Consider the following 16,403-nt stretch of genomic DNA (forward strand, 5'->3'; position numbering starts at 1 on the left):
ATAGTTTGAAGTCAGGTAGCATGATGCCTTCAGCTTTGTTCTTTTGGCTTAGGATTGACTTGGTGATGCGGGCTCTTTTTTGGTTCCATATGAACTTTAAAGTAGTTTTTTCCAACTCTGGGAAGAAAGTCATTGGTAGCTTGGTGGGGATGGTATTGAATCTGTAAATTACCTTGGGCAGTATGGCCATTTTCACAATATTGATTCTTCCTACCCATGAGCATGGAATGTTCTTCCATTTGTTTGTATCCTCTTTTATTTCCTTGAGCAGTGGTTTGTAGTTCTCCTTGAAGAGGTCCTTCACATCCCTTGTAAGTTGGATTCCAAGGTATTTTATTCTCTTTGAAGCAATTGTGAATGGGAGTTCACTCATGATTTGGCTCTCTGTTTGTCTGTTATTGGTGTATAAGAATGCTTGTGATTTTTGTACATTGATTTTGTATCCTGAGACTTTGCTGAAGTTGCTTATCAGCTTAAGGAGATTTTGGGCTGCCACAATGGGGTTTTCTAGATATACAATCATGTCGTCTGCAAACAGGGACAATTTGACTTCCTCTTTTCCTAGTTGAATACCCTTTATTTCCTTCTCCTGCCTAATTGCCCTGACCAGAACTTCCAACACTATGTTGAATAGGAGTGGTGAGAGAGGGCATCCCTGTCTTGTGCCTGTTTTCAAAGGGAATGCTTCCAGTTTTTGCCCATTCAGTATGCTATTGGCTGTGGGTTTGTCATAGATAGCTCTTATTATTTTGAGTTACATCCCATCAATACCTAATTTATTGAGAGTTTTTAGCATGAAGGGTTGTTGAATTTTGTCAAAGGCCTTTTCTGCATCTATTGAGATAATCATGTGGTTTTTGTCTTTGGTTCTGTTTACATGCTGGATTACATTTATTGATTTGCATGTATTGAACCAGCCTTGCATCCCAGGGATGAAGCCCACTTGATCATGGTGGATAAGCTTTTTGATGTGCTGCTGGATTCGGTTTGCCAGTATTTTACTGAGGATTTTTACATCGATGTTCATCAGGGATATTGGTCTAAAATTCTCTTTTTTGGTTGTGTCTCTGCCAGGCTTTGGTATCAGGATGATGCTGGCCTCATAAAAAGAGTTAGGGAGGATTCCCTCTTTTTCTATTGATTGGAATAGTTTCAGAAGGAATGGTACCAATTCCTCCTTCTACCTCTGGTAGAATTCGACTGTGAATCCCTCTGGTCCTGGACTTTTTTTGGTTGGTAAGCTATTGATTATTGCCACAATTTCAGATCCTGTTATTGGTTTATTCAGAGATTCAACTTCTTCCTGGTTTAGTCTTGGGAGGGTGTATGTGTCGAGGAATTTATCCATTTCTTCTAGATTTTCTAGTTTATTTGGGTAGAGGTGTTTGTAGTATTCTCTGATGGTAGTTCGTACTTCTGTGGAATCAGTGGTGATATCCCCTTTATCATTTTTTATTGTATCTATTTGATTCTTCTCTCTTTTCTTCTTTATTAGTCTTGCTAGCAGTCTATCAATTTTGTTGATCCTTTCATAAAACCAGCTCCTGGATTCACCGATTTTTTGAAGGGTTTTTTGTGTCTCTATTTCCTTCAGTTCTGCTCTGATCTTAGTTATTTCTTGCCTTCTGCTAGCTTTTGAATGTGTTTGCTCTTGCCTTTCTAGTTCTTTTAATTGTGATGTTAGGGTGTCAATTTTGGATCTTTCCTGCTTTCTCTTGTGGGCATTTAGTGCTATAAATTTCCCTCTACACACTGCTTTGAATGTGTCCCAGAGATTCTGGCATGTTGTGTCTTTGTTCTCGTTGGTTTCAAAGAACGTCTTTATTTCTGCCTTCATTTTGTTATGTACCCAGTAGTCATTCAGGAGCAGGTTGTTCAGCTTCCATGTAGTTGAGTGGTTTTGAGTGAGTTTCTTAATCCTGAGTTCTAGTTTGATTGCACTGTGGTCTGAGAGACAGTTTGTTATAATTTCTGTTCTTTTACATTTGCTGAGGAGAGCTTTACTTCCATGTATGTGGTCAATTTTGGAATAGGTGTGGTGTGGTGCTGAAAAAAATGTATGTTCTGTTGATTTGAGGTGGAGAGTTCTGTAGATGTCTGTTAGGTCTGCATGGAGCAGAGCTGAGTTCAATTCCTGGGTATCCTTGTTAACTTTCTCTTTCATTGATCTGTCTAATGTTGACAGTGGGGTGTTAAAGTCTCCCAATATTAATGTGTGGGAGTCTAAGTCTCTTTGTAGGTCACTCAGGACTTTCTTTATGAATCTGGGTGCTCCTGCATTGGGTGCATATATATTTAGGATAGTTAGCTCTTCTTGTTGAATTGATCCCTTTACCATTATGTAATGGCCTTCTTTGTCTCTTTTGATCTTTGTTGGTTTAAAGTCTGTTTTATCAGAGACTAGGATTGCAACCCCTGCCTTTTTTTGTTTTCCATTTGCTTGGTAGATCTTCCTCCATCCTTTTATTTTGAGCCTATGTGTGCCTCTGCATCTGAGATGGGTTTCCTGAATACAGCACACTGATGGGTCTTGACTCTTTATCCAATTTGCCAGTCTGTGTCTTTTAATTGGAGCATTTAGTCCATTTACATTTAAAGTTAATACTGTTATGTGTGAATTCGATCCTGTCATTATGATGTTAGCTGGTTATTTTGCTCATTAGTTGATGCAGTTTCTTCCTAGCATCAATGGTCTTTACAATTTGGCATGTTTTTGCAGTGGCTGGTACCGGTTGTTCCTTTCCATGTTTAGTGCTTCCTTCAGGAGCTCTTTTAGGGCAGGCCTGGTGGTGACAAAATCTCTCAGCATTTGCTTGTCTGTAAAGGATTTTATTTCTCCTTCACTTATGAAGCTTAGTTTGGCTGGATATGAAATTCTGGGTTGAAAATTCTTTTCTTCAAGAATGTTGAATATTGGCCCCCACTCTCGTCTGGCTTGTAGAGTTTCTGCCAAGAGATCTGCTGTTAGTCTGATGGGCTTCCCTTTGTGGGTAACCCGACCTTTCTCTCTGGCTGCCCTTAACATTTTTTCCTTCATTTCAACTTTGGTGAATCTGACAATTATGTGTCTTGGAGTTGCTCTTCTTGAGGAGTATCTTTGTGGCGTTCTCTGTATTTCCTGAATCTGAATGTTGGTCTGCCTTGCTAGATTGGGGAAGTTCTCCTGGATAATATCCTGCAGCGTGTTTTCCAACTTGGATCCATTCTTCCCGTCACTTTCAGGTACACCAATCAGACATAGATTTGGTGTTTTCACATAGTCCCATATTTCTTGGAGGCTTTGTCATTTCTTTTTATTTTTTTTTTCTCTAAACCTCCCTTCTCACTTCATTTCATTCAGTTCATCTTGCATCACTGATACCCTTTCTTCCAGTTGATCACATCGGCTCCTGAGGCTTCTGCATTCTTCACGTAGTTCTCGAGCCTTGGCTTTCAGCTCCATCAGTTCCTTTAAGCACTTCTCTGTATTGGTTATCCTAGTTATAAATTCGTCTAAATTTTTTTCGAAGTTTTTAACTTCTTTTCCTTTAATTTGAATCTCCTCCAGTAGCTTGGGGTAGTTTGATCGTCTGAAGCTTTCTTCTCTCAACTCGTCAAAGTCATTCTCTGTCCAGCTTTGTTCCGTTGCTGGTGAGGAACTGCGTTCCTTTGGAGGAGGAGAGGCGCTGTGGTTTTTAGAGTTTCCAGTTTTTCTGCTCTGTTTTTTTCCCATCTTTGTGGTTTTATCTACTTTTTGTCTTTGATGATGGTGATGTACAGATGAGTTTTTGGTGTGGATGTCCTTTCTGTTGTTAGTTTTCCTTCTAACAGACAGGACCCTCAGCTGCATGTCTTTTGGAGTTTGCTAGAGGTCCACTCCAGACCCTGTTTGCCTTGGTACCAGCAGCGGTGGCTGTAGAACAGTGGATTTTCATGAACTGCGAATGCTGCTGTCTGATCATTCCTCTGGAAGTTTTGTCTTGGAGGAGTACCTGGCCGTGTGAGGTGTCAGTCTGCCCCTACTGGGGGGTGTCTCCCAGTTGGGCTGCTGGGGGGTCAGGGGTCAGGGACCCACTTGAGGAGGCAGTCTGCCCATTCTCAGATCTCCAGCCATGTGCTGGGAGAGCCACTGCTCTCTTCAATTTTGTCAGACAGGGACATTTAAGTCTGCAGAGGTTACTGCTGTCTTTTTGTTTGTCTGTGCCCTGCCCCCAGAGGTGGAGCCTACAGATGTGGGCAGGCCTCCTTGAGCATGGTGGGCTCCACCCTGTTCAAGTTTCCTGGCTGCTTTGTTTACCTAAGCAAGCCTGGGCAATGGTGGGCGCCCCTCCCCCAGCCTCGCTGCCACCTTGCAGTTTGATCTCAGACTGCTGTGCTAGCAATCAGCGAGACTCTGTGGGCTTAGGACCCTCCAAGCCATGTGTGGGATATAATCTCCTGGTGTGCCGTTTTTTAAGCCCGTCGGAAAAGCGCAGTATTAGGGTGGGAGTGACCCTATTTTCCAGGTGCCATCTGTCACCCCTTTCTTTGACTAGAAAAGGGAACTGCCTGACCCCTTGTGCTTCCCCAGTGAGGCAATGCATTGCCCTGCTTTGGCTCGCTCACAGTGCACTGCACCCCCTGTCCTGCACCCACTGTCTGGCACTCCCTAGTGAGATGAACCCGGTACCTCAGATGGAAATGCAGAAATCACCCATCTTCTGTGTCGCTCACACTGGGAGCTGTAGACTGGAGCTGTTCCTATTCGGCCATCTTTGTTCCATAGTTCTTTTATTTTTTTGTAGGGATGTGTTTCATTATGTTGCCCAGACTGTGTTGAACTCTTGGCCTCAATTAATCCTCCCACCTTAGCCTCCCAAAGTGCTAGGATTACAGGCATGAGCCACCATGCCCCGCACTCTCACCATTTTCACTTACAACATTCTAGTCCAAACTTTCCTCATTATTGAATTATTGAAGCTTTCCTAACTGGTGTTTTCCTACCTGACTTCTTTTCTTGTCAATTTTTCTTGTCTCTCTCTTGTGCATAAATGGGTATTGGTCACCAGAGTGTTCCAAATGGTATGTAGTTATGATTTCATGGTGATCAAGATAGACATGAAAGACAGACATTAAATGAATAATACTATAAATGTGATGAGCACTGCAACAGAATGTACAGGGTGCACCTCTGATCTCATGTGGGATTTCTCACCTTAGCACTATTGACATTTTGTACTGGATAGTTCTATGTTGTGGGGACCGTGCTGTGAACATTGTTCACAGATGACTAGCAGCACTCTGGCCTTTGCTTTCTACATGCTAGAAGTACTCTTCAGAGCACTCATCAGTTGTGACAAACAAAAGTTTCTTGGGGTGCCAAATTGTCCCTCAGCTGGGAATCACTGTTTAGTCTAGGTAAGTTGGGGCTGAGTTTAGCATGGAAACATTCAACCTGTGAATAGGCCATTTGAATAGAGAGCTGAAGGATGAATTGGACTTCCTCAACATTAGGGTTGTGGAAGGAAGGGGGTAGGAGTCTTTGGGAGCTAGGATGGGTCTCAGTGTTCTTGGAAGGGAGCCCAGTACCTGCAAGATCCTGACCGGGAATGAACCTGGGGTCTTCCAAGAACTTAAAGAAGGCCAATATGAATGAATACATGGAATCTGCTAAGAGATTGGTTACTATCCTGCTGGGAAGTGTAGACCATGCTCAGAACCAAGAGCAGTGGGAAACACTGAATGATTTTTGCAAGAAAATGACAAGATATTGAATTCAACCAGGGTAATGGCAAGAATTGGGATAAAGGGGAAGAATGAGCCAACAACAATATCTTTGGTGAATGAGGGTAGGGCCTGGCAGGTTTGTTGATGACAGCAACGATGAATGTTGAGGGTTACAGCTAATTGGCTGATTGCATAAGCCTCAGAAGCAAGGTATGTGTGCATATATGCATTGTCTATCTATATATTTTAATAAGGGGTCAATTTTGAGTAATGGAAGACCATTGTAGGATAACACCAGTTATCCCTCCTAACCTTGAAATTCAAAAGGAGGGGAGGTGGGAGTGTAGCAGAAACTACAGCCTCCACTGGAGAGGATTGCAGAGGATGCATTCTTAGAGGAGATAAGGGAAGAGAGGCAACATATGTTCAAAAGGCTGAGGATTTGAGGGAGTTTTCTCTTCATTGAAACTCCTGAGGATACTGCTGAAGGCAGGGAAAAGGGGTAGAGTCAGAGTTAGAGGGTAAAGAGGTTCAGATTGTTTGAGGGATGACAGTTTAGATGTCTGGGGATTCTCTTCCTTTGGCAAATAAGAAGGGAGGGAAGGCTGGGGGTGTGGTCCATGGTGGATTAGCTCTGAGCATCTTACAAGGAATAGTGGGCACTTGGATCTAACAGGGAGACCTAGAGATTTTAGTATCTTGAAATAAATCTTCCCAAACTGCCACTTTTATAATGTTACTCTCTATCCTCTTTCTCCTGCTCTCATCCTGAAACCTGACAAACAGTCAGGATCAGGATCTTCTTCTTTGCCTGGGCTTATTGTTATCATGCCTTGTTCTCTGTCTTTCCTCCATACCCCCAGTCTGGCTTTTCTTCTTTAAATCCTACCCATTTTTAAAAGCCTCACACATATCCTGCCTCTTTCATGGCATCTTCCCAGGCCACTGTGCCCACAAATGTTACCTACTCTTCTTAATTGGCAATTAATTCAAAACTGCCTTGGGGGCTTGTTTTGTACTGATATATAACTCACATATTAAATTTTCACGGGTATAAATTGGTTGTTTCTAAAGTTAAATAGCAAATTCATTGAAAGCTGATCAGATTCTGTGCCTCTTATTATACCCTAAAAGTCCTAAAATGATATTTGACACACAAAAGTTATTTAACTGTTTAATTAATGCATTTGTTAAAATAGATATCACTTTCCCAGAAAAATGCAGGGGAGTGTTGGTGTCAGTGTTATGTGGCATGTGGACTCAGAGTGTGAATCTGCCTGTGCATCCACCATATTGCTTATCTTACAGAAAACACATTGTCCTCTCTCAGATGACTCGATATAGGTTGGCAACTTCAAGACTTTAACGTTAGCAGCAGGGAGGCAAGAGCAGCTCTATGCATCGATGGAGTGGTCACGAAAGCAAGGAAGGCCCTGACCCAGCCAGACCATGTGAGGGGGGACTATAAGTACACTGGGACCAGGGGAAGAAGCAAGAGGGTAAGATATATTAAAAGGAGGTGACTATTATTCAACAAATTGCCCCAGGTTTGTGTTCTAAAGTTTAAATTGTGAACTGCTGCAAGAAATATTTCAGAGAGAGTGAGCAAATTTTCAGTTATCGGTGAACAGATTTTTACTTGATGTAGTCACAATGAGGAAATACACATTCTCAAATTGACTTTTCCAGACCTTTAGGTGAACACAATGGGTGTGAGGAAAAGGGAGTTTGATCTCAGCAAAGAAAGGAAGAATGGAGGTGTGTGAATATTTGCTTGACCACTTCAGATGTTCTCAAACAAAAATGTAGTTTTAACTGTATTATAAAATGACAACAGGTTTGTAAACTATCTTTCCCATGAATACAGATGATGGTAGATCAATTTTCCCACCCTGTCTTTGGTTGCTCTTTAGCAGTTGAAAGAATTTTCCATCTCCCTCTGGGTTGAGGATGGGGGCAGTAGAGCTGTAAACCAGGCAGAAACACTTTAACAATCGTCTCACTGATGCCAAGCATGATGGGAGGGTTATTTCATCATCTTTCCATGTTACCTTTCTATTATTCCAGCTCCTGTTCATTTTCACCTTTAAAAATAACATTGATGTGTGCTGAGTCCCTCAGCAAACCTGAAACTGAGAACCTGCTGTGTTTAGACTTCAAGTTAGTTTTCCAGGTCTTATTGCCTCACCTGGGTTCTGGAGTCATAATCCAAATCTAAACCTATGTTCAGCTCAGAAATTACTACCAATTTGGAATAGGTAATGCAGTGTATCAACTGTGCCTTTTATTTTCTGATGCTTTGACACCCTGGAGACTTGCTGACCCTGGAGTGGTTGTTCCTCCCAGGGCTAGCTAATTCCTGGAGATAGCAAAAAACTCTTCTTCTAGCATGCCTTTCATATGCATAACTGCCCAATATGGGTTGAGGAATCCATAGTCCAAACCTTACCATCTCCCTTATAGGGGCTTTCACACTTCAGGCCACTATCCACCTGCCCTAATCACCCAAGGGTCAGGTAGCAGACAGCTGATCTGCACCAGACCCTTCTGAAATCATTCAAACTAGCCAATCCTAAATCTGTTTACCCCAGCTCACCTGTTTTTTCCCACAGAAACCACAATAAAGGTTCTTGCCCACATTTTCCTCTTGCTCCTCTGCCTCCTGACTGACACTGTGCTTCCCTGTGTTGTCCCCACATGGTGTGGCATGCCTTCTTCTCTTGGGATCTGTGAGTAAATGTGATGGTTAATATTGAGCGTCAACTTGATTGGATTGAAGGATGCAAAGTATTGTTCCGAAGTGTGTCTGTGAGGTGTTGCCAAAGGAGGTTAACATTTGAGTCAGTGGACTGGGAGAGGCAGACCCACCCTCAATCTGAGTGGGCACCATCCTAGCTGCCAGCACAGCTAGGATAAAAGCAGGTGGAGGAACATGCAAAGACTAGACCGGCTTAGTCTTCTGGGCTACATCTTTCTCCCCTGCTGGAGGCTTCCTGCCCTCAAACATCAGACTCCAAGTTCTTCAGCTTTTGGGCACTTGAACCTTCGACCACAGACTGAACGCTGCACCATCAGCTTTCCTACTTTTGAGGTTTTGGGACTTGGACTGTCTTCCTTGCTCCTCAGCTTGCAGATGGCCTATTGTGGGACTTCACCTTGTGATCATGTGAGTCAAGACTCCTTAATAAGCTCCCCTTTATATATACATCTATCCTATTAGTTCTGTCCCTCTAGAGAACCCTAATACAGTAACAAACTGTCTTTTCAGTGACAACCATTTCCTGAGGCCATATCATACCTGAAAAATAATAAAACCTATATTTTAAAACGTGCAGTTATGATATTGATCCCACCTTTGTTATAACCTTATAAACAATGTGCCTATCAATATCAGTTGACCCATTATCTCTGGATTATATTCATCTTTCTTGGGCCACACATATTCATATTCCCAAACCTTCACTGTATAAGCAAGTCAGAGATAACCCAGATGAATGTTTTATTATAATTTACATGAAGTTTAGTTCACTATATAGATGACTTTGACAAGTTCTTTATAAGTAGATTATAAGGTCTTTGGGGGAGGGGCAATGACTATACTTTGTGTGTGTTTGTGTGTGTACGAAAAAGAAACGTGATAACTTATTTGGCATTTCTGGCAGGGAGTGAAGCTAGTTGAATATCTCTTATCTGAAATGACTGGCACTTGAAGTGTTTTGGATTTTGGATTTTTTGGGGGTATCTTGGAGGTGAAACCCAAGTATAAAGATGAAATGTATTTATGTTTCATATACACATTATATGCTTAAGCTGAAAGTAATTTTATACAATATTTTAAATAATTTTGAAACAAAGTTTGTGTACATTGAACATCAGAAAGCACAAGTGTCACTATATAAGGAACCCATGTGGACAATCTGTGGTTGTTTGGTTTCACCCTCATTCTCGACTCCGAATTTATATGCTACTGATAAGCAATCCTTTTATTGTGCTTATTCACACATAAGTACTTAACAGTAAAGCAAGGCTTATGCTTCATTGCTATCATGTCATCTATAGGCATGTTTTCTACAGTGTTGTCATTTTCATCATCAGTATTATGATTGCCTTAATTCAGAACCATTTTAGCTATTACACCTTTGGTCAATAAATAAACAACTGGAGCCTCATTATCAATGTTACAAATTTATTCAATATCTACTTCTTCCAGTTTACTGATGGAAGGTATATTTTTGCATAAGCAAGGAGGTCAGACACCATTTTTTTCTCACTTGACATATGGAATCCTTGAAAGTCACCACCTTGTTCAGCATCATCACTGGACATAGTTGCAAGCCAGAGATTGTCCCAGGCATGCACAAATTGTCTTTAGTCAACTGTATAGCAAGTATTGGCAACAGCTTATACAGCATATTTTATGCAAAATGTCTTTTGAAAACATTCCACACCCTCCGTTTACTGCTGCTAGCATGCTACTCAAGAAAGAATAAATGCTACATTTATTCTTCATTCATCTAAAGATACCCTGGTCACATGGCTGAATTAATAAAATCACATTTGGGGCAAAGTACATGGAATAAAAAATGTTTTTGATGAGAATTTCAGCTGAAGGTTGAGCAGAACTGTTGTCAAAAAATAACAAAATCTTGCAGTCATCATCCAGTTCCATTTCACTACAATGAACACAAGCTGCTGGTACAAAATATTTGTGACACCAATCAGAAAAGATGTCCCTGTTGATCCATGCCTTTTTGATAGCATAGTAATGGACTGCTAAGAAATTAACTCCTTGAAATCAGTGTGGACACAGGTTTTTGGCTATCACAGCAAGTTTATACTTACGCGTGTCTGCTGTGTTAGCACAGCCCAGCACAGTTATCGTGTCTTTGGCATCCTTAATTCCTGCACAGGCTTTCTCATCAGCTGTAGTCAGTGTCTATCTGGGGCAATAACACCAAAACAGTGATGTTTCATCAGCGTTCTATATTTACCCTGGCATCCGATTTTCATCAGTGATGACCTTGGCAAACCTGTCAATGGAATTTGTTGCTTCTTGATCAGCAGATGCTTTATCACCACAAATCTTTAAACATTTGATATTGTGTCTCTTCTTACATTTCTGCAACCTTCCTGTCGAATATTCAAAGTTCCCTTCAATTTTCAGTCCATCATGATAAATCTTTGCTCTTTTCATCGTCAGCATACCATTAAGTGGCATGTGTTCACTGCAACACTGACAGATCTGGTCTCTCAATACTTGACTGAGATCTTTATTTTTAACATTAGGTAGTGTTTTTCTATTTTTCATTAACTTTTGTTCATCACTTTCAGCATAGAACTTCCACAGTGTATCCTTCTGTTTCCTTAGGTCTTACATCACAGAGAATAAGCAAAAAAGAAAACAAGCAAACGTACAATTATAGTGAGTAATGTACATAGTTATTGGCTTCATGTGGGACATTGTGGGGAACCTGCCATCGGTGCATCCTGCCTGCACATGTGCCATTTTATTACCTCTTGTGGGTGTGCTTGTGTGTGGGACTCTGGGCCTGTGCCAAAATACAGCAGAAGGAGAATAAAAAGGTCTTTTTTCTTTTGGGGATGCTGAATAACTTAACTGTGCGCCTGCATTTTGACTGCGACCCATCGCATGAGATTAGATGTGGAATTTTCCACTTGTGGTGTCACACTGACACTCGCAAAGTTTCAGATTTTTAAGCATTTAAGATTTTGGGGTTTTGAATTTGGAATGCTCAACCTGTATATATTTTTGGCCAAATAGCACTGACCTTCCACCTGAAAAGTTTATTTTCAAGTGAGTGGGCGGCTTTGGGAGGGATACACATAAAGTGCAAACAGAAGATAGAGATACTTGTTTAATAAATGAGAGAAAAAAGTTCAGCCCTGCCATCACTTAGATCATCTTTCAAACCATATCCTGCATTTCTGTTATTTCTGTTGTTAGTTGTAGTGGTAAGAACCTTGTAGGTCCCTGAGATAAGCCTCTTGCTGAATGTTTTTCCTTGTGCTTTATATGTAGAACCTCTATGTCCTGGTCTTCTCTGTGACTAAAAAAGAAGTTACATTAACTTTTAATCACTGCTTTGATAATAGGATCACATAACCCCAAGTATACTCCAATTATTTGTGAAGTTCCCCAACGGTTATCTCTCAGTTAAAAGTGGCATATTATTGTTTTTCTCCTGCTGGCTTCTACTGGCCCATGTCTCACATCTATAAAATCCACAGAGAAGCATTGTGACTGGCTCAGCTGAGAGTGCTCATGATCAGAACTCCTATGGGGATGACAGTGGTGCTATTTCCAGATGCTCTCCTGGTTGCCAGCCCTGAGTCAAAGCTAGGTTCCATTGAGAGGCAGACAGAGTCACCTATTCCCTGCCTACCACTTTTCCACAGGGCCTGAATTCTACAGAACCTCCTGTGAAAAATTTGGATTTTGGGCTTCATCACTCTAACCATGGAGGCTCATATCCATTTCAAGGAGCCAGAGGGTCATAAGTGCCATACCACCTACTCCTCATCCCTCTCTCCTTCAACTCTAACCCATCCCTCTCCCCACTACATACCAAAATTTACTCCAAATGCAACACTGTCTGTGACAAAGCAGTTTTTAAAATATTGGAGTCCTGGTCTTTCCACACACCTCTATTTTACCAGGGAGTCTTTGCTTTACCTTTATATGAGAGGCCCTTTGAGTTGGTTTCCCCAGAAGGAAGATCTACTCCAATTCAAGACTGCACCATTTGCAATGAGTGTACAGTGTAATGCTTTTAAATTGCAGTTTTTGTTTTTTCTACTCTCTTCATCAAATTTTTAGAGATCTTAGGGCTACTTTAAAGCTGAAGGGCAAGAACATCTTTCTCTTCAATCGTCTTTGCAATGATACAGCAGTTTGCAACCCCAGCTTCACATTAGAATCACTTGGCGGTGAGGGAGGTTTAAATATATTGGTGACAGGGGTCCACCTAAGGCAAATTAAATCAAATCTGTGAGGGTGGGGCTCAGGCATTTTCCTTCCTTCCCTCCCTCCCTCCCTCCCTTCCTTCCTTCTTTCTTTCTTTTTCTTTTTTTTCTTTCTTTTCCTTTTTGAGACCAAGTCTCACTGTGTTGTCCAGGCTGGAGTGCAGTGGTGCAATCTCAGCTCACTGCAATCTCCACCTCCTAGGTTCAAGCAATTCTTGTGCCTCAGCGTCCTGAGTAGCTGTGATTACAGGTCTATGTCACTAGGCCCGGCTAATTTTTGTGTTTTTAATAGAGATAGAGTTTTGCCATGTTGGCCAGGCTGCTCTTGAACTCCTGACCTCAAGTGATTTGCCTCCCTCAGCCTCAGAAAGTGCTGGGATTATAGGGATCAGCCACTGCTCCAGGCCATATTTTTTAATGCTCCAAAATGATTTTATTAATAATAAACAACCAGAGTTAAGAACCACTGTTGTAAATACTTGGCCTTGGGCTGAGAAACTCCAATTTGTTACAGACAGGGGCACATCTAATCTTTATCTTTTTTTTTTTTTAATTATACTTTTTTAGAGTACATGTGCACAACGTGCAGGTTTGTTACATACGTATACATGTGCCATGTTGGTGTGTTGCACCCATTAACTTGTCATTTAACATTAGGTATATCTCCTAATGCTATCCCTCCCCGACAACAGGCCCTGGTGTGTGATGTTTCCCTTCCTGTGTCCATGTGTTCTCACTGTTCAATTCCCACCTGTGAGTGAGAACATGCGGTGTTTGGTTTTTTGTCCTTGCGATAGTTTGCTGAGAATGATGGTTTCCAGCTTCATCCATGTCCCTACAAAGGACATGAACTCGTCATTTTTTATGGCTGCATAGTATTCCATGGTGTATATGTGCCACATTTTCTTAATCCAGTCTATCATTGTTGATGATGGTGATGTACAGATGGGGTTTTGGTGTGGATGTCCTTTCTGTTCATTAGTTTTCATTCTAACAGTCAGGACCCTCAGCTGCAGGTCTGTTGGAGTTTGCTGGAGGTCCACTCCAGAACCTGTTTGTATGGGTATCAGCAGCGGAGGCTACAGAACAGTGGATATTGGTGAACAGCAAATGTTGCTGCCTGATCGTTCCTCTGGAAGTTTTGTCTCAGAGGAGTACCCAGCCGTGTGAGGTGTCAGTCTGTCCCTACTGGAGGGTGCCTCCCAGTTAGGCTACACGGGGGTCAGGGACACACTTGAGGAGGCAGTCTGTCCGTTCTCAGATCTCCAGCTGCATGCTGGGAGAACCACTACTCTCTTCAAAGCTGTCAGACAGGGACATTTAAGTCTGCAGAGGATTCTGCTGCCTTTTGTTTGGCTATGCCCTGCCCCTACAGGTGGAGTCTACAGAGGCAGCCAGGCCTCCTTGAGCTGCGGTGGGCTCCACCCAGTTCGAGCTTCCTGAGCAGCTTTGTTTACCTACTCAAGCCTTGGCAATGGTGGGCACCCCTCCCCCAGCCTCGCTGCCACCTTGCAGTTTGATCTCAGAGTGCTGTGCTAGCAATGAGCGAGGCTCTGTGGGCACAGGACCCTCTGAGCCATGCGTGGGATATAATCTCCTGGTGTGCCGTTCGCTAAGACCATTGGAAAAGCGCACTATTAGGGTGGGAGTGACCCAATTTTCCAGGTGCCATCTGTCACCCCTTTCTTTGACTAGGAAAGGGAATTCCCTGACCCCTTGCACTTCCCGGGTGAGGCAATGCCTTGCCCTGCTTTGGCTCACTCTCCGTGCGCTGCACCCACTGTCCTGCACCCACTTTCTGACACTCCCCAGTGAGATGAACCCAGTACCTCAGTTGGAAATGCAGAAATCACCTGTCTTCTGTGTCGCTCACTCTGGGAGCTATAGACTGGAGCTGTTCCTATTCAGCCATCTTGGCTCCACCCTCTACTCTTTATCTTATGTGAGACCAGGAATCATCACATTTTTCCTTGTTGGATATGAAAAGTTTAACTCAACTGATCATTGCCAATTGCTATTCCCTGTAATGTGTGCTAATTCTTGAAAGTTTTGGGCTTGTTAGTCCAGTAATCTAGAGGTTTGTCTTCTATGCATTTTGCTGCTATTGGAGACATTATCTCCACCTGGGCTTCTGGTTATAACACCTTGGTTTTCCATAGGTGTGCTTAATAAAGGATCAACACATCTGTTTTATTTCCAAATCTCCTGAAAGTAGTTATCTCTTTGAACTGGTTAAGTGTATATACTCGAAATAAATTACATATCATTTTAGAACAAGGGTTTAATAAGCTTAAAACAAAAACCCATTTGATTCTGTATTTACTAACACTGAATTATTGTTAAATACTTTTTAATATAGTTTTGTTTTTCTCATCCTTAGAAAGATTAGCTTGCTTTGAGTATCCTGCTCAAACTGGGTTATGTACCACTCTCACATGGTTTTCAAATTTTGAGAGCGCCACTAGAGGTCGAAACTCCTGAAGTCTTTTATCCTCCTAACAACAATTTAAAACAACGATTTAATCCTCCTAACAATGATTTAATCCTCCTAACAACGATTTAATACTTTCATAGAAAAGGCATCTGTTTGGTTTTTCAGTTTCTTAGTACTTTGTTCCTATCTGATTTCAGTTGGAGAAAGCAGAAAACCATTAAGAAAAGTTATATGGCTTTTGACATTGGTAAAGTAGTTATTGTTTCCCCTCTGATGGAAAATCATCTTTATTTGCGTATATCTCTGAGTTCTTGCTCCTCCTCATCTGGCATTTGCTATGCATTTATATGAATTGGCACACTTGTCAGTCAGATCTAACCTAGAGGTGTAGGTGGACACTGCCTCCTGCTTAAAGCCTTAATTACAAAAGTCTCAGTTTACTAGAATACCATAATTAGACAAAATTTCGAAGTATTTAATGATATATTTCAATTACAAAGTAGTTTCTCCATAGCCCAACAGAAATAAACTTTTTTAAAAAGCATGCTGTATCATAATAAAAGTTTCTTAATTCTGTCATATGTGCAATATATAAAAATTTCTTTCTTTCCATTCTTTGGATCGGCTTGTAATGTTTAATAATGCTTTCAATGATATGATCTAGAAATTAATTAGCTGTTTATAAAAGTTAACTTAATTGACAAAGAACATTTCAAGCATTTTCCATGTTATTGTATCATTAAGGATTGGTAAATGTCCGTATTGGTAATGGAATGTTGTTCAGTGCCTACAGAAGAAAAGTATATCTTTCAAGAAAGCATAAAAAGGCACCATTGTAATTAGACATGCAAGGAAGAGAAATATAAAGTCTTAATACAAGGAATTAGTGTTACCCATTATCCTTTCACATAATGAATAAAATAATTTTTACCTTGTGAATTAATATCTTTACTCATTAGAATATGATAATTTTTTACATATTACAAAAGTAGAAATGAAACAAAGGCTATTACTGATTACCTACTACACATACTATATCATTCATTTTTACTTGCATCTTTCCTATTCAGTTGTCTGAGCTATTGACTTCCATAAAAAAAGATCAGATGAGTCACATGGTCAATGTAATTGAGCTCAAAACTACTGTTGTGCATATTGTTTTAAATAAGTTATAAGTTAATTGTCATAAAAATTTGTGCCTTCCAACAATTTCAGGGTGCAACTCACTTTGAATTTGCACTAAGAGGGGCAGCCTCTTATAATTTCACGAAGTCCTTAGCAGTCATGATACAACCTCATT

General features: G+C 41.1%; 1 annotated feature.

The window, feature by feature from the left end:
- Positions 4,284–4,784: an enhancer, noted in NCBI's record as "H3K4me1 hESC enhancer chr3:98783203-98783703 (GRCh37/hg19 assembly coordinates)". NCBI's record gives its function as "activates a minimal SCP1, AML or CMV promoter by ChIP-STARR-seq in primed H9 embryonic stem cells {active_cell/tissue: H9 hESC(primed)}" and the evidence as "EXISTENCE:reporter gene assay evidence [ECO:0000049][PMID:30033119]".

This window comes from Homo sapiens, chromosome 3, assembly GCF_000001405.40.
Source record: "Homo sapiens chromosome 3, GRCh38.p14 Primary Assembly".
Classification (NCBI taxonomy): domain Eukaryota; kingdom Metazoa; phylum Chordata; class Mammalia; order Primates; family Hominidae; genus Homo; species Homo sapiens.